Genomic DNA, 21,636 nt, shown 5'->3' with positions numbered 1-21,636 from the left:
TAAAATACTTATTAGCATTAGAACTAAGGTCTTAAATGGCAAACCAATGAATGTGAACTTTATTTTGAGGGCCACTGGGAGCCAGTGGGTTTCTGGAAAGAATGCTGATCTCATGTTGCTGTGTAAATTGGGAGAAAAAGCGGCTGCTTGGAAGGACAACACAAACTAAAAGATGACTGCACCTACCATGAGAAGACTAATGAAGGCAGGAACCTGTCTGGTGCCTGTTAAAACAGAAAAAAAGATCCTACATCTTACACAAACAGACCTGCACTTGTTATGATGATTAAGGTGCTGAAGAAGTGGCTTTAGAACACTGACTCTAGAAGCTTTCTCAAAATCCCCAACCTGTGGCAATATATTGGTCAGAGTTCTTGTACCTACACACTGAAAACTGTTAGGGATGTATACCTGGGAGTGACACAGTTCTATTCTATCATAGTAATGGAACAGAAATGACTTTGGAGTATAACCTATGACCAGGGGGAACCATATATTGCCCTGTGACCACATTCATCATGCTTTCAAAACATTAGAGCTAATGTGCATTCACAAGAGACAATGCAGATACAGAACAAGTTAATGTTACCACCATAAGGAAGCAAAATAGCTAATCCAGAAGTAGGTTCGTTCTATAGGAAAACTGTACCAGTTTCTACAGGTCAAGGGAAGAGATAAAACAACCAAATGTAATACGTGGACCTTGTTTGAACCCCGATTTAAGCAAACCAATTGTTAAAAGACCTTTTAGGATTATAAAAAACTTGAGTATGGACTGGATATTAGGTGATAGCAAAGAATTACGGTCAATTTTATTAGATGTGATAATAGTATTGTGGGTAGATGAGAAAATATCTATATTTCCTAGAATGCATACTGATTATATGGGGTTCAATGAAATGATGTCTATATTTGATTCATAATACTTTAACAAAGAGAAACAAGGGCTGGGCACATTATCTTATGCCTCTAACCCCAGCATTTTGGGAGGCCTAGACAGGACGATCACTTGAGGCCAAGAGTTTGTAAACAGCCTGGGCAACACAGTGAGACCCCATCTCTACCAAAAAAAAATTTAAAGGTTAGCTGAGCATGGTAGCACACATCTGCAGTCTTAGCTACTGGGAGGCTGAGACGGGAGGATCGCTTGAGCCCAGGAATTCAAGACTGCAGTGAGCTATGATTGCGCCACTGCACTCCAGCCTGGGCAACAGGGTGAGACTCTCTCTAAAAAAATTTTTTTGGTCGGGCGCTGTGGCTCATGCTTGTAATCCTAGCACTTTGAGAGGCCAAGACAGGAGGATTGCTTGAGCTCAGGAGTTCAAGACCAGCCTAGGGAACACGGTGAAACCGCATCTCTACTAAAATACAAAAAATCAGTCAGGCGTGGTGGTGGGCACCTGTAATCCCAGCTACTCAGGAGGCTGAGGCATGAGAACTGCTTGAACCCGGGAGGTGGAGGTCTCAGTGAGCTGAGATTGTGCCACTGCACTCCAGCCTGGGCAATGGAGTAAAACTCTGTCTCAAAAAAAAATTTTTTTTTAATTAGAGTGAAAGAATAAAGGTACAAATAAACCAAACATGACTAAATCTTGATAACTGTAGAATTTGAGTGATGGCAATATGTTACATATTATCCTAATTTTTTCTCCTTTTGGGTTTAACACTTCATAATAAATATTTTTTAAAAGATAAGACTCATTTATAAAAAGTTTCCTATATTTTACAATGGCAATAATAAAGGAATGCCATCTTAGAACCTCAATTTGAAAAATAAATTACTATATTAAAGAATTGAACACCATCTGTAATTCAGGTTCAATCACATAGGTTTGAGTAACTGAACTGTCTGCATAACTGAATGTTGGCCTGAGTATTTACAGGCATAACACACAGCAAGGATGAGTGGAGGTGTCATTTACATAGGCATCTTTTATCATATGACATGATTACGGCCCTTTCAGAACTATTTTCGCTTCAAAAGACTATGAGTGTGATCAATTAATCAAATCATTAAATAAAGAATTTTCATTAAGACCTTAGTATAAGGCATTCTGCAAAGTTCTGTGGAGAATATGAAGATAGATTCAAAAAGACAGCTTGGAAGATTTTTAAAGTTTAATCTATTCAGTCACAGTATGCCACTAGGTTGAACAGCCAAAGGTTGAACAGCCAGGTTGAACAGCCAATGGATGAGCACACGAATTTAGGAGAGTATTCATTCACTAATTTGTTCATTTATTCACATATTGACTATTTACTGAAGGCCCAGTGTACTTGGGGTATTGGGCTATCTGCTGGGGGAACAAAATAGGCATGGCTCGTAGCTTCACACAGCTGACAGTGTGCAGGGAGAGAGGCATGATAGAATAAAAACACACAGGACTATAATTGCAAAGTGAGAAGTGCTACAATGGCTGCTGCAGGAGAGATGCAGGGGGGACATATCTGTGATTGTGGGGGTTGGGGCAGGACTTTGGGATAGTGACACTTAAGCTGAGAACTAGAAATAACTGTTGATAGAGACAGTCAGGGAAACCTTCAAAGTGGAAGAGAACTGGGGCAGAGGGGTTGTAGGAATTTATGAATGGTGGGGGGAATGTGGTGATGGCTCACATGCTCACTTCCTTCTAGGATTATGAGAGTCTGTTCTGGCCAGCCACTCCTTGGTACTCCCCTCTGCTAACAGTTTGTATCATCTTTACTGTCATCCAGGGTTCTGGCTGCCTCTTGACATACTATGACATATTATATACGCATTTCCTATCTGTCTCCCCCACTACACTTAACTGCAACAAGGGCAAGGAATTTGCTTTATTCGTCCTGTAGCATCACCTTCTAGCACAGTACTAGGCTTAATATCAAGTACTCAACAAATACTTAACTGCTTTAAGGAGTAAGGAAGTGTTAATATGTACAAGGTCATGCATTGTCTCCAGCTTAGAAACCTTACATTCAACCCAAGACTCGCATCAGAACTACCAGAAGAGCTCTTTCTGCAACAAAGCAATACTCTGACAAATAAAGCGCCAATTATGCTCAGGAGTAGAACAGTATGTCAAGGATGACAGTATGTCATTTCTGCTGAGAACGTGACTAAGGGTATGTTGTGAATGCCTAGCTGTTGGAATCTTTAAAGCAGAGTTCGTTAAAGTGCAGATTCTGGCCCGTTACTGGATCATGAAAATAATTTAGTGGGTGCCGACCAGCCTGATTTTGATGAAATAGAACAGAAAACAGGAGAAGAGAAAAATAGCAGATTGGTGGCATCCTGCACAGTGAGGAGGGAAGCACTGTTTCACAAAGCTGTTGTTTTCAGACTCTGTCTGTGTCTACAGATATGTATGTGTGTGAGTTCTGGGTCACAATGCAAAGTGTGGTTCTTACTGTGGGTCATGGTCAAAAGGCTCTGGAGGCTAAGGAGCTAGTAGTATTTCCCATACTGTTATCTGGGCATTAGACTGAGCCCTGCCAGAAACGACAAACCAGCTTCTTGAGCTATTTTATTAGAATCATATTTAAGTCAAACACCAAGGGCAAGAGAAGAACACCATGGTGATGTTTTCTGCAGCTGAATTGGCAAATGCATTACACAGGGACCCAACATAAAGGGACACTGAAGACTATGCAAACTGGACGTGGTGGGGGGTCTGCCAAAGACAGTGCCAGCAACTGCCATCTTTTGACAAATAAACATCGCAAATTAAAGTTATAGCTGTTCCCCGCCAGGGTCCCCTTGGGGATTACATGATGCAGAGGGTGACTTGAAGGACAGTCTAATCTTACAGGTGTCTTTGTTAATATAATATGCATTATACTATAAAATTATATACCTATACACAAGTACAATATACATTATAGTATGCATTCTATTATAAAATATATACACATACATATGTATATACTAATATACATATGCATATATATGCATATGCATTATATATGCATTATAAAATATATGTGATGGTATATATATGCCATTATAAAATACATATGGTAACTATATACAGTTCCAAGATCTATATATAGCAAGCAAAGGGCTTCTAGTACAGTGTTTACAACAGAAGCTCAATAAACATTTATTCAATGATGAGTTAAGTGAATAAGTGAAATCTTTTTCAGTCTTGCTGGTGTTTGATTTTATCAACATGTAAATATTTATTAAATTCTTGGCTCATATGGGCTTATTCATTTAGATACCAGCTCATTTAAAAAATATTTTAGGTTTTATTAAATTCTTAGTTATGGAAATGTACAAAGACATAAAATTCACTTAATACATGCTCACCAGAAATTTATAATCTAAGATGGTAATAAATCTACCAATTCACAGAAGCAGATTAGTTGTTTCTGATGCCTTTATAGTAAAGTTTAATACCTAAAACTTTACTAACTGTACTATAAAGTTAACTTCACTATAAACTTTATTATGAGCAAGAAAGGCAATGAGTGAAAAAGGAGTCAACATGTTCATGAGACTGTGGGAGTGGTCTGTTCAGCCAAAATACACTAACGGTCAGTAACATCCTCAAGGGATGCCATACAATAGAAATATTTAGCATTTCATATGAGTCCTATAATGATGCAACCTTTTCCAAATACCTGAAACCATAAATTTAATCATTTATCTTGTATGCTTGTTATACACTAAAAAAAATTCCTTGGGAGGAAAAAAAAAGTTCCTTAATGCACGCTTTATAAACCACAAAAGTAAGGGGTAAAATAATGACTAACAGGATTTTTTTTTCCTAGAAACAGAAGGCTATCATATGTAAACTTCTAGTAATTTCATTAGAGATAGTGCAGTGGAATAATTAGCAAGCAACTCAATCTCCCAAATCTTTAGTAAACAAAATCTTTCTCCTTGATTAGAGCAATATGTTGTGCCTTTACCACTCACAAGTTAACTTCTCCTACCTTCACTAAAAAAAATTAAAGAGCCGATATCCAAAATGCATGTAATTAACTCTGTGTCATGGATGTTTCCTCTCACTAGTTTTTTGGAAATGTTGTACAATATTGCTTAAAATGTTATGTTAGAACTAATGTAACTGTGTTATTGTCTGATAAAGGAAAAGCAGTGGCATGCAATTTGGACCCATTTAATGTCAGTTAACATACGGTGTCCTGTTTTTAAATTTATAAACAAAAAGGAAAAATATTTTATCTTTTACATGTTGAACAAGGCTAAGCCAAAAATGAAGAAAAAAACTGCTTTTAGGCCTACTGCAATGTTTAAAACAAAACAAGTAAGGGCATTAACATTAATATTTAGAAGAAATCATGCATAAATCCTACTTCTACTATAATATTAAATATGATGCTATTAATTATTTTTCAAATATATACTAGCTGTTTTTACAGAGCAGCAATTTTACTGCAGTGTCATACCAAATCTTTTAGTGAAAGTTAAGTGCACAGAAAAATTCCATTGTATCCTGGCTGCCTGTTCCACAGGCTCGTATACAAAAAGGACATCTTGCCTCCAAAATATAACAATCTCAAATGTAACACCTCAAGCATTACTCCTGTCTCTGAACAATGGCATTATAAGTAAATCCCTGCAGGCAGATGCAACTGCTACCTCCACCCCCATCCGCTGAAACCTTTAGAAGAGTCCTCCCATACTCAGCATTTAACAACCAGTTAGCCACTCCACACATATTAACAGCCTTTCATACCTACCAAGCCCTTTTATGAAGCTGATCACACAGGATCGTCTCCAACAAGCAGTTGTAATCTCCATGAGCCTGAAAAGAAACCCAAACTAACAGTCTGGAACAGCTACACAGACCATGTTCCAAAGCCAAAACACATAATGATGGGCTCCATGGTCCTGTTGCTCACTGCCACCATAAGTGTCTCAGCCACAATGCAGGGCCCTTATATTTTTGGCCCCAGGTGTATTTTTAGTCAGGTGCTAAAGACCTACAGTAGAAGACAAACTAAAACAGGCCTTCCGTCCAGGGCAGACTGTTCATACCAATGGGACAATTTTTAGCTGCACAGTAAGACAGTGACCTACAACTCACAGAGTGCCCGTATGTCTATATTTATCCACAAGAACATACTATACTGACAGATTAGTAAAGCTGCTCAAAGCACTCCAGGAACATGAGCCCGACCCACACAGTTTGCCATAAACAGTCCATGCATAGCAAATACACACGCTGCCCCCTGGATCTAACGGGCTGGGGTTGTGTTCCTGTGATTCAAGAAAGGTAGGAGCAAAGATAACACAGGGTGAGTGATAAACTGTTGCTCTGGGAACTAGGGGCTCTTGGCCATGAATACAAACAGCTTTCAACAGCTTACATGCTTACAGACAAAACCAACAGCAGAGAATCTGTATTTGAAGCCAAGAGTCAGCGAGAAACCATACACCCTTAAGGAAAATGAAACACTGAACATCTGTTGACATAACTTGCAAAGAAAAGTGATTGGATTCAAATCTATAGTTACATGATTTTAAAAGACACAGCCTAAACTGACTTGTTAAAAACTTCATTTATAAAACCAAGATGGAGCCAATATTGGAGAATGTTAAGTGTTCTGCCTTCAAAAGAAAACAGGTTTAGGTTAATGAGGTTGAGAAGGAAAATGCAAAGTTACTTAAAAACAAAAGTGTAACGAATTGATCTTTCTATGGGCATTATTTCTGAGAGAAGAATTCTATGAGGGTCAGTGAAAATTTATTTCAGCTGTGAAGAGACCGAAACCCAAGTAATTTTCTATTCTTGATTTACTCAGGGTAAATTGAAGGTTTTCTTTAGCAATATAGGTTGTAATTACAAAACAGCATGGAAGGAGAATTGACTGATGAACTGAAACAATTCACAGGAAGAAAGAAAATGTCCAGTTTACCAAAATGAACACTTAAAGTGATTCTGCTGAGCTAAACACCAGCAAAGATGCCCCATGCTACTCCTGCATTTTACACATTCAGGGTTTAGAATGCCTCTGTAGAGTTGACAGAGGTGAATATGTGGTATTTGGTTTACATTTTACTAAAGGAAGTCAAAACCATTAAAAGACAGTAGTGTGCCTATGGAGTTATCTGTGTACAGACAGAAGAGGGTAAAGTCCTTCTCATTCTGTATATAACTAGGAATCCAATGCAGAGGGGAATAATAGACATGGGAGATTCCAAAAGGTGGGAGGGGTGTGAGGGGATGAAATACCACCTACTGGGTACAAGGTACACTATTTGGGGGATGGGTACACTGGAAGCCCACACCATTACTACACAATATCACCATGTAACACAACGGCACGTGCACCCCTAAATCTATAACAAAAAAAAGATGAAAGAAAAAGAAAATGGAATTCTGCTTCACTATCTCATTAGTGTAATACTACATTCTCTATAAATTTTTTTTTTTTTTTTTTTGCTTCCTAAGTTTCTGAGACAGTAGTGCACAAATCTGTGAATGTAATTGTAGAAGTCTACAATTTCTCCTTTTAATTCTGTCAAAAGTGGTCAGGTGCAAATAAATCCATGTTGATTATAAACAAATAAATAAATAAATTGGAGTCCAGACCCAACTGAAAATTCGCACTTTGTCATCCTCAAGTCTCCAGTGCTATTATTAGACTAACCTCTCAAATGATGTGACTGTCATTCAACTAAAAGAACATTACTTAAAACAGCCTTGTAGGAATATGAAAAAAAAAAGTATCCTCTTCTTTCCTACTTTTTATAGATACTAAGGGAAGTGAAGAGAAAAAAAGGTAGAAAAGGAAGCTAACATTTGAGGGAAGGAGGACTGACCTTGATTCTGATCCTAGGTTAGGCACTTTCCATGTATTATTTCACTAAGTCCTCACAGTAACCTTATAAGGTAAGCATTACCATCTACATTTTAGAGTCAATGAAAAAGAACAAAAATAAGGTTGCTCAGGGTCATTCAAATACAGGTTTATCAGACTCCAGTGTCACTACATTTATTAATTTTTATTCTAGTGTTTTCCTTAATATGATTGAGACTTCTAAACAATGGCAGCCTTAGAGTATTTGTCTTTGTATACATTTAAGAGATGCCTCAAATAATGTATACATATTTTTTTTTACCCAGATATCCTGCATATCCAAAATATAGCTGAATTCCAGAGTGCAGTCACCTTTGGTGCCCTCCACCTCACCTGACTATCCCCACTTGAAGCCCATGTTCTCCTATATTAGACATAATCTTGTTCCTCCGTCAAATGTATGTTAAATTAAAAGCAAAAAATCATGGACAGGTGAAGGATCCTAAGGTCAGGCATACTGACAGTGTAAGTGACAGCTGTCAGCTGATGGCTGATATTAATAGAAAAATCAGAGAACAAAAACACAAAGCAGACATAAAACTTAGAAAGCAAAGCAGGCTACAGATATTTTAGTATAGAAAGAGAATGCCTTTCACATTTCAAAAGCCCTGAAGGTATCCATATATTATAAAATCTCTAATAATTAATATTTACTGATGATCTGAATTCATTTAGATGTGGTTAAATTATGATAGCATTTTATGCAACAGATACAGAGACAGTAAAATACTTTTTAGAAAAAAACTGTATTCAAAATTATTAAAATGATTTGCTATTTCCAGGGCTAACCTTCATGATTAGGGGAAGTTTACTTATAGGTTGTTGGCTCCCCGATGATTCCAAAAAAAGTCATATATTTTAAACTATATTAATGTAAACTAAATTTAATAAATAAAATAAACTGGATTGTTGACTTAATTGATAGTTTCATAACAACCCTCAAATATTAATTGAATGAATGACTTTAAAGTTGATGCTTCCTTTTTCTTTAACAGTTAATCTAATATTCATAAAAGTTTCCTTTCTGCTTCTGTGTGGCCTGATGGCAAGACGGTAAATTTTATTTATTTATTTTTTTTTGAGACGGAGTCTCGCTCTGTTGCCCAGGCTGGAGTATAGTGGCGCGATCTTGGCTCACTGCAAGCTCCGCCTCCCGGGTTCACGCCATTCTCCTGCCTCAGTCTCCCGAGTAGCTGGGACTACAGGTGCCCGCCACCACACTCGGCTAATTTTTTGTATTTTTTAGTAGAGACAGGGTTTCACCGTGTTAGTCAGGATGGTCTCCATCTCCTGACCTCGTGATCTGCCTGCCTCAGCCTCCCAAAGTGCTAGCATTACAGGTGTGAGCCACCATGCCCGGCTGACTGCGAATATTTTTAAGTGCAAACGAAAGGTGAACCCAATGCATCTACCTTCACGGGCTTAGAATCTGCAAGGAAGGAAGTTCCTGAGTGTGTTTAGTTTACCTTGTTGCTTCTGGGAGGACTGTTCTTAGGCTACCGGCCAATAGCTACTTATTAGCATAAAGGTTAGATCATACAACTACTCTCACTAAATGTAGCCTACTAGGCCAGGTGTGGTGGCTCATGCCTATAATCCCAGCCCTTTGGAAGGCCGAGGTGGGTGGATCACCTGAGGTCAGGAGTTTGAGACCAGCCTGGCTAATATGGTGAAACCCTGTCTCTACTAAAAATACAAAATTTAGCTAGGTGTGGTGGCACGTGCCTGTAATCCCAGCTACTGAGGAGGCTGAGGCAGGAGAATCACTTGAAACCGGGAGACAGAAGGTTGCAGTGAGCTGAGATCCTGCCACTGCACTCTAGCCTGGGTGACAGAGTGAGAGTCTGTCTTAAAAAAAAAATAAAAAATAAAAAAAAGTAAAAATAAATGTAACCTACTGGACTCTATCCACCTACTTTATTGTATAGTCTCCCCGCTCTATTTTACTATGGGAAGCAAGAAATAACTTTTGCACATCAACTCAAGAATTTTTTTCCAACTTACAGGAAAAGTCACCATTTAAAATGATCATATTGTAACCCTGCCTATTTCATTCAAAACTGTGAAGTGAGAGGATACACTTGCTGGTGATGATTCTTATTTTTTTCATAATTGGTCTTATAAACCCAACATTTCTCTAAACTGAGGTTTTAGAACCTCAGTTTATCAGTGAAATATTTCAGTAATAAAATGGTCACATTTTATTTGTATGAGATACATACATGTTAGTCTTCCTAGCAATTCAGTAAATATAAGAGTTAAAATATTTTCACAGAAATATGGCAATTAACAATAGATGCCAGTGCCAAAAGGATTATGTATTTTCACTATTTTTCAGTGATATAACATAGTACAGAATATATTCATTCACTTGTATTAACAAAACTTTCAGAGACAAGGAGCCTCTGAGGCTGTGTTTAAGGGAGGAACCAAATGGAGCACAACATAAGCAAACATCACCTGCAGCCTGGCCTCTTCCCTGTGGAAACCATAATAAGGGCAGGGAACCCATAAAAGATAATGTGTCATTGTGTTGGGAAGTACTGGCTATTAAATAGGCTTACAGTTGTAGGTAGCATTTGCCAAGCATGTCATTACCTAAAGACATATCCAGCAAACAAATGCAACCTGAAAATGTGTATTAGGAGGGCCACTAGGAAAATACTGGTTTGTTTTGGCACAGGGTACCTCTGACAGCAAGCTACTGGTGAAGCAGCATTCTACTAACCAGGTGTATGATACTTATTGGGCACAGACTGTGTGAACCTATACAGAGGCTCACTTTAAACCTCCAAAGATCACCCATTCTCTGATAAATTGCCAGGTATATTCCTTTTTTTTTTTTTTTTTTAGATGGAGTCTCGCTCTGTCACCAGGCTGGAGTGCAGTGATGCGACCTCAGCTCACTGCAACCTCCGCCTCCCGGGTTCCAGTGATTCTCCTGCCTCAGCCTCCCAAGTAGTTGGGACTACAGGCGCATGCCACCACACCCAGCTAATTTTTGTATTTTTAGTAGAGACAGAGTTTCACCATATTGGCCAGGCTGGTCTCAATCTCCTGACCTCGTGATCTGCCCACCTCGGCCTCCCAAAGTGCTGGGATTACAGGTGTGAGCCACTGTGCCCAGCCTACCAGGTGTATTCTTAAACCCAACCTTGGAAAGAAAAATCAGAAGGGATTCTATGTTAATGAGAAATATTCTGGAAGGTATACTAACTTAAATGTATTAGAAGTACACTAAATGTTCTTTTTCCAAAAAGTTTTCCTGATTTCCATTACTCAGCTTATAGGTACCCCCAGTTCTATATGTGTAATTCCTCATTTGATCTTTCTGTTGCCCTCAGTCTTTTAATTATACTGTTTTGAAGGATTATTGCACAGGTTCTGTTTCTTGAGTTGAACTCAATTATTTTTTGGAGAGGGGTCTGACAAAATCCCAAAGTTTACCCAAAGATGGAGAGAGCTTTATAAAATGTACAGACTCAATGGCCTCATGAAGACCTACAGAATTTGAATCCCTGGCAAGGCTAGAATTTGTCTTTTTAAAGGTTCCATAAGTGATTCCAATGTGTACCCAGGTTTGGAAGCTACTGATGGCCCTTGGGAATATTTAATAATAAAAGAGAACAGAGTATTTAGTAAACCATCCTCCCACGTAGAGGAATCCATAGGAGGGTTTAAAATAGTTTCCATCTTAGGCCAGGCATGGTGGCTCATTCCTGCAATCCCACCACTTTGGGAGGTCGAGGTGGGAGACTCTTGAGCCCAGGAGTTTGAGGCCAGCCTGGGCAACATGGCAAAACCCTGTCTCTACAAAAAACACAAACATTAGCTGGGCATGGTAGTATGCACCTGTGGGCCCAGGTACTCAGGAGACTGAGGTGGGAGGATGGCTTAAACCCAGGAAGGAGGCTTCAGTGATCTATGATCACACCACTGCACTCCAGCCTGGGCGACACAAGACCCTGTCTCTAAATAAAGAAGTAAATAATAAAATAAAGAAATAAATAGTAAAACAGAGCTCTCTAGCTGGTAACCTTGTATCTATAACTCAAAACATAATGAAGAATCAGGAAGTTAACCAAAAGAACTTGGGGTTTGCTTTTGCTGTGCTTCATTGGTTTCTTATCTTTTATTTTCTTTATTTATTTATTTATGTATTTTTGAGACGGAGTCTCGCTCCGTCGCCCAGGCTGGAGTGCAGTGGCGCAATCTCAGCTCACTGCAAGCTCCGCCACTCGGGTTCATGCCATTCTCCTGCCTCAGCCTCCCGAGTAGCTGGGATTACAGGTGTCCACCACCATGCCCGGCTAATTTCTTTTGTATTTTTAGTAGAGACGGGGTCTCACCGTGTTTGCCAGGATGGTCTTGATCTCCTGACCTTGTGATCCGCCTGCCTCGGCCTCCCAAAGTGCTGGGATTACAGGTGTGAGTCACTGCGCCCAGCCTGTTTCTTACCTTTAAACAGCCTCAGGGGTTTCTCTGAGGAAACTAACACATTTCTCTGCCCCAAATAGGTGTCAGAAATCTACGTACTTGATATACATAGACTAATGCAAGGTCTCACTTCAAGCCCAACTCTTATTCACAACCCAAGCAAGTTTTATTTTTTTTTGGTCTAGTTTTTAAACTCCTAGCAAATTGAATGCAGAAAATCAAAAGACAAGATGTAAAAAAATGATCACTTGATAAATGCATAAATTCTAAAAAGCATTTATACAATTAATAACAACAAAGCAAGTGGTGCCATTTAGTTAGTATACCTCCCAGAATTCCTTCACAGTCCCTGTGAACATTTCCTGAATAGTCATACAGAACAACAAAAAAAAAAGGGTGTGTTCAAGATGACATCCTGTTAACAGTAAAGGATAAACACTTCTGCAGGGTTTTCATATTTTCGTTCAAAACATCTAAAAACTTATAAAAATTAACCTGACAATGGGAGTTCAGTTCTGAGTGACTTGTTCACTAGAGGCACGGTTAGAATGAAAGTAAACAACTATTTTCATTTAACAAAGCATCTTTTATTGTTTTATTTTTAATTTTTTTTGAGAGAGAGTCTTGCTCTGTTGCCCAGGCTGGAATGCAGCGGTGTGATCTCAGCTCATTGCAACCTCCGCATCCTGGGTTCAAGCGATTCTCCTTGTGCAGTGAAGGAGCATAGAGAAGGCACAGAGCCACACAACCTTTTACTACTAAGGCCTCTTTGCCTAATATCCTCATCCCCACAACCTGTTCTACCCAAGAAGGAGACAACCTAGTCTAGCTCATGTGTTTTTCCATATTTCACCTTGTATTTTGAGTTGATTATATTTTTGAGGATTAAAAAATACAGCCCAAGAAAGGATCCTCCTTCAGGGAAGACTCTTAAGTGTCCAAAGTGCATCAGGGACGCATGTGCACTTAAATGAGGCCAAGTATGGACTCTGTGGCATTATGGACCTGTAAGTCCATGTTCATAGGCTGATGTTGCCATTAACAAGCCGTGGGACCTTGGAAAACTAACACAGTCTGGGACCGAGACAGTTCGTCTGCAAAGACGATGAAGTCAGGTGTATACATAAAGAAACAGCAATTGTCCTGCAGCATTTTAATAGTATCTATACATTCTTTAGGCCAAGTAATCTAGAGAGCTTCATTCAAAGGATATGTCATAAATCTAGCAGGCCAAATGATAAGCTGAGGAGTGTCAGAAGTCATTACTAAGCATAGTCGGTAAGAGACAACTCCCAAAATAAAATCCAGTCTAAGAATGTCATTATTTTATATTATAAAATAACTCTTCTGTCTAAGACTGGGACTTTCTGAGAATACTATTTGAAATAATTCTACCTTTGTGTTCTAATACAGTAGCTATTAGCCACATATGGCTGCTTAGCCCTTGAAATGTGGTCAGTGTTACTAAGGAACTTAATTTTTTTTTTTTTGAGATGGAGTCTCGCTCTGTTTTCCAGGCTGGAGTGCAGTGGTGCGATCTCAGCTCATTGCGACCTCCGCCTCCCGGGTTCAAGCGATTCTCCTGCCTCAGCCTCCCGAGTAGATAGGACTCCACGCCCACACCACCACACTGGCTAATTTTTGTACGTTTAGTAGAGACGGGGTTTCACCATGTTGGCCAGGCTGGTCTTGAACTCCTGACCTCAGGTGATCTGCCTGCCTCGGCCTCCCAAAGCACTGGGATTACAGGCATTAGCCATCGTGCCCAGCCAGAAACTTAATTTTTATTTTTATTGTAATTAATTTAAATTCAAACTTAAAAACTGACACTTTGTTCAGTTATTGGAAATGTTTTAAGTATGTTTGGACAAATCTGCATATATGAAAGTACTTTTTCAACTGTAAATTTTATTAAATACAAATACAGATCAAGTGTTTTGGATAAATTTGGTATTCAAATTTAAATATGTTGATGGTGTAAAACACACACTGAGTTCTGAATTCCTCAAAAAAAGAAGGTAAAATATTTTATTAATAGTTATGCTGATTACATGTTGAAATAACATTTTAGATATATTGAATTAGATAAAATAAATTATGAAAATTTCAATGCTTTTAAGCTCTTTTTAATGTCGCTATTACAAAACTTAGAATTACATGCATGCCTGGTATTGCGTTGGGCACACTGCTTTAGACCAATTAACGCTTTTTATAAAACTTAGACACACAGGGAATAATTTTGCAGATAAACATGGAAAACTATTCAGAAAAAGCTAGTGTTGTGTCTTTATGGATTAGTAAATGCATGTAGTCATATATATTCACAAATAAGTTATTAGAAATACTGGTTTATTGTTTCAATAACATTTATTGATCACTTCAAAAAGTATCAGGCCAGGTGAGACTGGGAGGTGGTCACCTTTATGTCCACTCTATAGAAGAGAACACTGAAGTAATTTGTCAAAGACAGCACACTCAATAAATGCCAGGAAAAAGGACTAGAATATAGCTTTTCCATCTCTGGAGTTTGTACTCTTCCTGCTATACCAGATTGCCTCCTAGAAGTTGAGCAGCAAAAGATCATAAAAGAGATTTCTGATATTAAATACTTCTATATGGCACCCAAATCTATTACAAAACCAAAAATATAAAACTGACTAGGGAAAAAATTTTTAAACATCTTAATCTTCCTCTAGCTCTAACCATATCATCCATGTTATGATTGATCACACATTGTCTTGTGCTAGCTCCTATACTGACATCTTCATTCTTTCTGAATATCACAGGGATTTCCACCTTGCCTACTTCTTTGTAGAAAGCACCTCATACTTCGCAAATTATCATCGCTTCTGCTGCAGTGTTTTGTACACAGTGGGTCCTCAATGAATATTGGTTGATTTGTTGAAATCTTTAATTTTTTAAAACCACATCCATGTGAGAAGAAAAGCTGGTAAAATTGAATTGAAAAATTGTGATTTCCTGATACAAACTTGCATTAACAAAACCACTATTTTGACATAGAGTACTCCTATAGCAGAATCATTTCATCTTGTAAATAGAGTATACTCGTCTCACAGAGTTAGCATCCATCTGAAAACTCAGGAGTAATTCGGGTGCTGGGGAAAACAAGCTCAATATTTAAGCAGAAAGCTAAACTGGCAAATGTCTGTAGGGTTTTTTGTTGGGCTTCTTTTTCATTCCGGTAGGTAGCTCTTTAATTCCCTTCCATCTGCTCTTGCCAGTCATCTCACCACTCCCTTCCTCTGCTTCTTCCTCTCCCAACTACACACTTTTTGCTTGACATGTCTTTTCCCTCAATCCTGCCAACCCATCCTCTCCTTCAAAGACCTTGTAAAAGTCCCACTTATACCACAAAACCTCCCTTAACCAAATAAAAGGGAAACGGTCATTTTCCTCACCCAACTACATCCTGGGATAAAATAATTTTGAGCTCCCAAATCAGAAGGAAACGGAAATAATTAAGTATGTATCTACATGAATGGAGTTTTATGGCTGTATAACCACTCAGATTAAGTTATTACCTCTATTCTCAACCATATTGGTATAGATTTGTTTCCCTGAATAATCCTCATTGTTGCTTTTCAGAGTCTGTTGACATGTTATGTTGTAAGGGTCTTCCTAAAATGCGTATGTGGTGGATATAATTAAAACTTAATTTTAGGTCTCTTTATTTTGCAATATTTATTCAGAGAACTGAGAGTGCACAAGATAGTACAGGTGTAAGGTTTACAACCTGTTGTTTCATTATGAAGAGTTAGGTGCACCTCTGTCTTACTTTCTTATGTGATGACTGATGTGATGCCATCATGTAATAATTGTCACCAGAGTACTCTGTGGCATTCTGAAGTAGTCAGTGTCATGCCCTGTCAGCCCATAATGTTAACATGACTGCTAAAACTTCCTCACATAAGGGTGGGGAGGAGGCACTGGGAGAATCTGATTCAACTAGCCTAATGGGATGGAGTTTGAAGTGGCATAAGAACAGCAAAATATGCTTTCAAAAATTCCCCTAAGATTAGGAGACATTTTCTCCTAGAAGGGTTTATTATGCAACTATACATGGCCCAGGAAAGCACACTGCTATCCCTGAAGGATAGAAAGAAAGGTGAAACAACTGCTAATGCCTGTGTGTCACTGCAGGACCAAGCCATATATAATTCTGAATATAATAAAAGCACCTGACAGAGATCATCTTGAACTTGTTTCTTAAGAGGTGTTATCTTTGGGAGCTTTCATGATGCCTTTGTTTTCTATGAAAATTACACTATATTTTTCCGAGAGATTGTCATATGTAAAAAGTGCTTAGACAACTTAGATGAATTGATACTCTAAAACTATACCGAAGTAATCCAACAAGCTATGCAGTATCCATTAGGTATTTGTTTGACATTTAAATGGTTTAAGGTCATGTGGCCATCTAAAATGTGTGTTTCCTTGAAAAACAAAACCAAAGAAAATCTCCGCCAATCTATGACCTGGGAATAACTATAAAATGAATGTATAGGGGCTTTACATAGCAGCTATACAACACCACTGTGTTAATTTGGAATATTAAATCAATTGAGTATCGTCAAGAGAGAACCCCGCCATCACCTTTTAACCTCAACGCAAATATTCTATTTAAAGAGCATATTGTCTAGCTGAGTATAATTTTAAAACACTGTTCATCAAATAATTGCTTCTGCCTATTTTTTTTAAAGCAGCTTGCTTGAGCTACATAATCATGCATGTTTTTTATCATACATTAAAATGAAACACAGGCTGGACCCAGGGAAGATACCAAACTCTGACAATTCTACCCCAGACAACTGGCTTGAATCTGTTCCCTTCTATCTAACTCCTCTGCTACTACTTTATTTTGAGTCCTTGTTGTCTCTTTCCTGGGTCATTCTCGCAGTGATTGTCCCTACCTCCATTCTCAGTGCAGAGTCCCTGAATTTGCTGGGATGTGATCATGCTGTTCCCTGCTTAAAAACCTATGGGGTTGGGTGTGGTGGCGAGCGCCTGTAGTCCCAGCTACTTGGGAGGCTGAGGCAGGAGAATGGCGTGAACCCGGGAGGCGGAGCTTGCAGTGAGCTGAGATCGTGCCACTGCACTCCAGCCGACAGAGCAAGACTCCGTCCCAAAAAACAAACAAACAAAAAAACCTATGGGGTTGCCCACTGTTTTCAGAATAAGACCAGACCTTTCGGCAGATCCTTCCATGCTCCCTGTCATCTGACCCAACTTGCCTTTGTATACACAATCTGTCACTCCTTCAGGGAACTTGGGATCCAGTTGTCATTCCCTCAGGCACCTCCCCAACTCCCTGCAATTGCTCAGGTTCTTCCCTCTGCCTTTCCCCCTCTTCTCTGTAACAGTCTTCATGTTCAAATGTCACAGTCTCCATGGAACTATCCCTCAGCCTCTTCCCTCCCTCTTAAAATGATGAATCACTTCCTTCTCTAAATGATTATTTAGGTCAGTGTCCCCAGGTCCCAGCACAATGCCTGGCATGGGCAGAGCACCTATTTCTGTTCTCTTGCAACTTCCTTACACCTTCCCTTTCATCAAAGTAGGCTGTCTTTGATTGTGAAGCCCAGAGAAGGCAGGAGCTGGGCCTGCTGAATCACTGTGTACTCTATGTACCACAGTACCCTACACATGTAAGCATTTAATAATTGGTAAGAAGGGAAAGGGAGGACTGTTTATTGACTCTCAGGCACTTCCTGAAGCTTATTCAGGCATGTCCAATTGGGGCAGCTATTTGAGTACATGCACCTTAATCAAGAAGATAAAATCTTTATATTCAGATTTTTTTTTTCTAGTAAGGCCATCAGTGTCTCCAAATAAATATAAAACAGCAGCATTCCCCACGTGGAAAAAGACCTTGTGAGTAAAGAATTAAATTAGCTCAGCAGACTTCATTGAGCATGGTTTCCTTCCAATTTGGCAAAAGTGCCTAGAAGGTATAAAAGTAAGTTAAATCCTTGTAACATTAATGACATTTAGGTAAATGTAGGAAAAAGTTAGTATTTTTACAGATAGCAATCCTTGACAGTGCTGAATGATTTAAAAATAAACAAACAATTTCTCTCTGAAATGTTTCCTCAAGTTGGCTGATCATTATACAAATAAAACATCATTTCACTCTACACTTTTCTTTTCATGGACATATCTGCCCAGAGTTCTGTGAACACAATGGTACAATTTAGCTTGTTGAACTCACTCAAACAAAACAACAGGTGAGGGTTACAGAGGAAAGAGACTTCAGAGCTAAGATTAGATGCTGAGTTCCTGCTTGGAATAAAAGATAGAAAGATCCCAAAAGACAAAACACTGTTACTGCTTGCTGGGTGCTCATCCACTGAGGGGCGACATGCTAGCAAAGTTTAGGCACAGACCTCCCACACCCACTCAAGAGATTTTATTCACTCATTCAATATTTAACAGATTATTCACAGAGCCAATGTGCCCTAAGATGTGCTAGAGGGTAGAAAAATGAAAAGACGGTTGATTCTTAGCCACAGAGGGACCCAGACAGGTAAAGCAGTTACAGAATGCCACTGTTGCTACAATGGAAGTATGTAGAAAGGGTAGGGGAAGGGGAAGTGGAAGTGGGTCAGTTAGAGTGAAACTCATACACACAGGATAAGAGTTTGGTCCAAATCCAAAAAGCTCACGCTTCAGGTTTAATTCACATAAATGCTCACAGAAAATGCTGTAACTGGGCCGGGTGTGGTGCCTCACACCTGTAATCCCAGTACTTTCGGAGGCCGAAGCAGGCAGATCACCTGAGGTCAGGAGCTCGAGACCAGCCTGGCTAACATGGTGAAATCCTGTTTCTACTAAAAATACAAAAAAACTAGCCAGGAGTGGTGGTGCGTGCCTATAATCCCAGCTACTTGGGAGGCTGAGGCAGGAGAATCACTTGAACCCAGGAGGTGGAGGTTGCAGTGAGGCGAGATCATGCTGTTGCACTCCAGCCTGGGCAACAAGAGTGAAACTCTGCACCCCCCCCAAAAAAAAAGAAAAGAAAAGAAAAAAAGAAAAACAAAAAGGAAAAAGAAAACGCTGCAACTGTAGCATACGCTAATGCCTTGTTATATTTTCAGCCATCATACATAGCTCTGAATTTAGAAGGAACACATTCTATCTTGGATATCTTTAGATGGTTAATTTTCTGAAGTTCCAGAAATGTACTTTGCTACCAAAATATCCTCTCTAGGGAGTGGTAAAGTTCAGATCCTCAAGTCAAGAAGATGTCACAAAAAAGCTCCAAGACTCTTTGGTTCCTGGTCATACTGTCTTGGCAATGAGCCAACATGACAAAACCATTAACTTACAGAGGGATTTAGACAAGCATTAATTAGGCAAATTACTAATAACAATGGCTACCATTTATTTGAGCAAGTACAATAGTGAATATGCTAAACACTTCATAAATGTCAACTCCTTTAATTGTTATGGCTCTAGGAGTAGGTATATATAGATAAACATATTTATTTAAAGAGATATACATGATTATGTAGCTCTCTCTCTCTCTATATATACATATATACCCATATACAGCTCATACACATCAGGTAGAGTCTCTTTTTTAGGAATCAGAATTTAAGTAACTTGCTCAAGGTCACATAGCAAGTATATGGCTGAGACAAAGCACATGATCGTAACAGTCCCAAATTGCACAGAAAAAACTCTTGTTTAGTCAAAAGTAAATCAAATGAGCCTACATAATTTCTTTCTATATTTTGTATTACATAAAAATTAATGAATCTCGTGGTCAAAAAGGCAGAAAAATTTAAAAAGAGACAAAAACAAAGTAAAACATCATGGCTTCTCCGTGTAGAGAAAGATCCAAGATTAAGAGCAACAATTCTGTGTTGCTTTGTAGTGTGGGTATTGAACCTCTCCTTACATGGAAACACAATAAAGAACTAGGTTTGCATAAAGGGCCTTTTATCTTTGTGTCATGTGACCAGTGTTGCATCATTTTCCTCTGCAGCAGGATTCAGTGAAGAGTGTAATTCACTTCTGTTTTCAGCAAGAAAAAATAAAAGCAAGTTAACACAAACGGGCTGATACTCCTGGCTGACTCTTCCAGACTGTGTTAACTTTCCACTTAAAGTAGAGGAGATGGAGGCTTGGTCTCAACTTCTGAGCTCACATAACTTTGCCAGCCCCAGCAGCATCAGGCTAGGGTAGATCTTTTGGCATTAACTTAGCACTGTCCACAAAGAAGATAGATTCTAACCTTCTGTCTCTTGCGTGGGTCAATAGCAAGAACTTCAGGAAAACACAGAGCTGAATAAATCAGCTGAGTTGTCATCTTGCAGTATAAAACACAGGCCAGTCAGACATAGACTGAAATGGAGAGGGATGTCCTAGGAACAGTATCCACAATTTATCTCTATCCTTTTCCCAGAGCCTGAAGAGCATTTTCATTCTCCTGGCCCAAGAAGTGACAGTCTCTTAGTCACTCCCTAAAACAAGGGCCTTGTTTGGCAGAACAATATGATATTTAAAGAGCTCATTGGGCCAGTTTGATGGCTGTTGTTTTGTGTACGAGGGACACTTGAGAATTGTTGAGTGGGTCTTCCATCACTGGAGTGTGTACACTTCATAAGTAGTTGTATCCTCTGCCTGAGCTCATTTAATATATTAACCAGAGCATTATACTTAGCTTTTGGTCTTAACTTTCAGCAAGCCTTTCCTCAATTTCTACATTATGCCTTGTCAAATCTAGCCTGTTTGAATCTCGCCAGCATAAAAATATAGAGTAGCAGATGTTATTCCTTTTAACTTAAATTGTGTTTGTAGTACCACAGTAATACTCCTACCTCATCTCTGGCCAATGACTGTGACTAATACTCCAATGATATCACTGGTATTTAGATTATAGGCTACAGGTCAAAGATTCAGTCCATTTCTGCATCCCACAGAACTCTTGAATCTACCAAAACAAATGGCTTGCATATACATCGCCAATGAAATTAATTTAGATGATCACTCCCAGTTCACGATGAAATTTTAATTATTCAGTGTGCTTGCAACCATTGACACCAAAAGCATTTGTCATGCAATCCCTGTCTATGGAGGCTGATGCACAATTACAAGAGTAAAAAGGTGGAGATCAACGTTCAAAGCTATGGGAAGGACTTCTAGGAAAGACTGTCCTGGAAAGGCAGTAGCAGCAGATAGCCAGTGAGAAGGAATTGTGAGTGCTCCAGATGGGAGGTGATGCAGACCTGGAACCAGGCCTTGGCAGAGGTGATGGTGACGAAGATCCAGATGTGGGAGATGTCATTCGAGGAAGAAAACAAGACAAGTTTTAGCAGCAATTTGGATGAACAACAATGAAGGGTTGAAAAAAAGTCTAGTTTCTTG

General features: G+C 39.0%; 1 protein-coding gene across 5 annotated transcripts in view, besides 2 other annotated features; it reads right to left on the bottom strand.

Moving 5' to 3' along the window:
- The window catches only part of FRY (FRY microtubule binding protein), a 267,352-nt gene that overhangs the window by 232,277 nt on the left and 13,439 nt on the right, over nucleotides 1-21,636 (bottom strand). Inside the window, exon 1 of one of the 5 annotated variants that reach the window (XM_006719749.4) lies at nucleotides 5,686-5,987. The exons of the other annotated variants lie outside the window; for them this stretch is intronic. Coding sequence (XP_006719812.1) covers nucleotides 5,686-5,746 — 61 coding nt within the window. The 5' untranslated portion in view covers nucleotides 5,747-5,987. Of the gene's footprint in view, nucleotides 1-5,685; nucleotides 5,988-21,636 lie in introns of those variants that run through there. 5 annotated transcript variants of the gene reach the window in all.
- Nucleotides 18,859-18,938: a silencer, noted in NCBI's record as "silent region_5245". NCBI's record gives its function as "represses an Ori minimal core promoter by ATAC-STARR-seq in GM12878 lymphoblastoid cells {active_cell/tissue: GM12878}" and the evidence as "EXISTENCE:reporter gene assay evidence [ECO:0000049][PMID:35858748]".
- Nucleotides 20,063-20,357: an enhancer, noted in NCBI's record as "tiled region #10155; HepG2 Activating DNase matched - State 5:Enh, and K562 Activating non-DNase unmatched - State 24:Quies". NCBI's record gives its function as "activates a minimal TATA promoter and a strong SV40 promoter by Sharpr-MPRA in HepG2 and K562 cells {active_cell/tissue: HepG2 | K562}" and the evidence as "EXISTENCE:reporter gene assay evidence [ECO:0000049][PMID:27701403]".

The sequence above is a fragment of the Homo sapiens genome, chromosome 13 (assembly GCF_000001405.40).
Source record: "Homo sapiens chromosome 13, GRCh38.p14 Primary Assembly".
Classification (NCBI taxonomy): Eukaryota; Metazoa; Chordata; class Mammalia; order Primates; family Hominidae; genus Homo; species Homo sapiens.
Note: the sequence above shows the minus strand (reverse complement) of the source record. Positions and strands in the feature narration are given on the sequence as shown.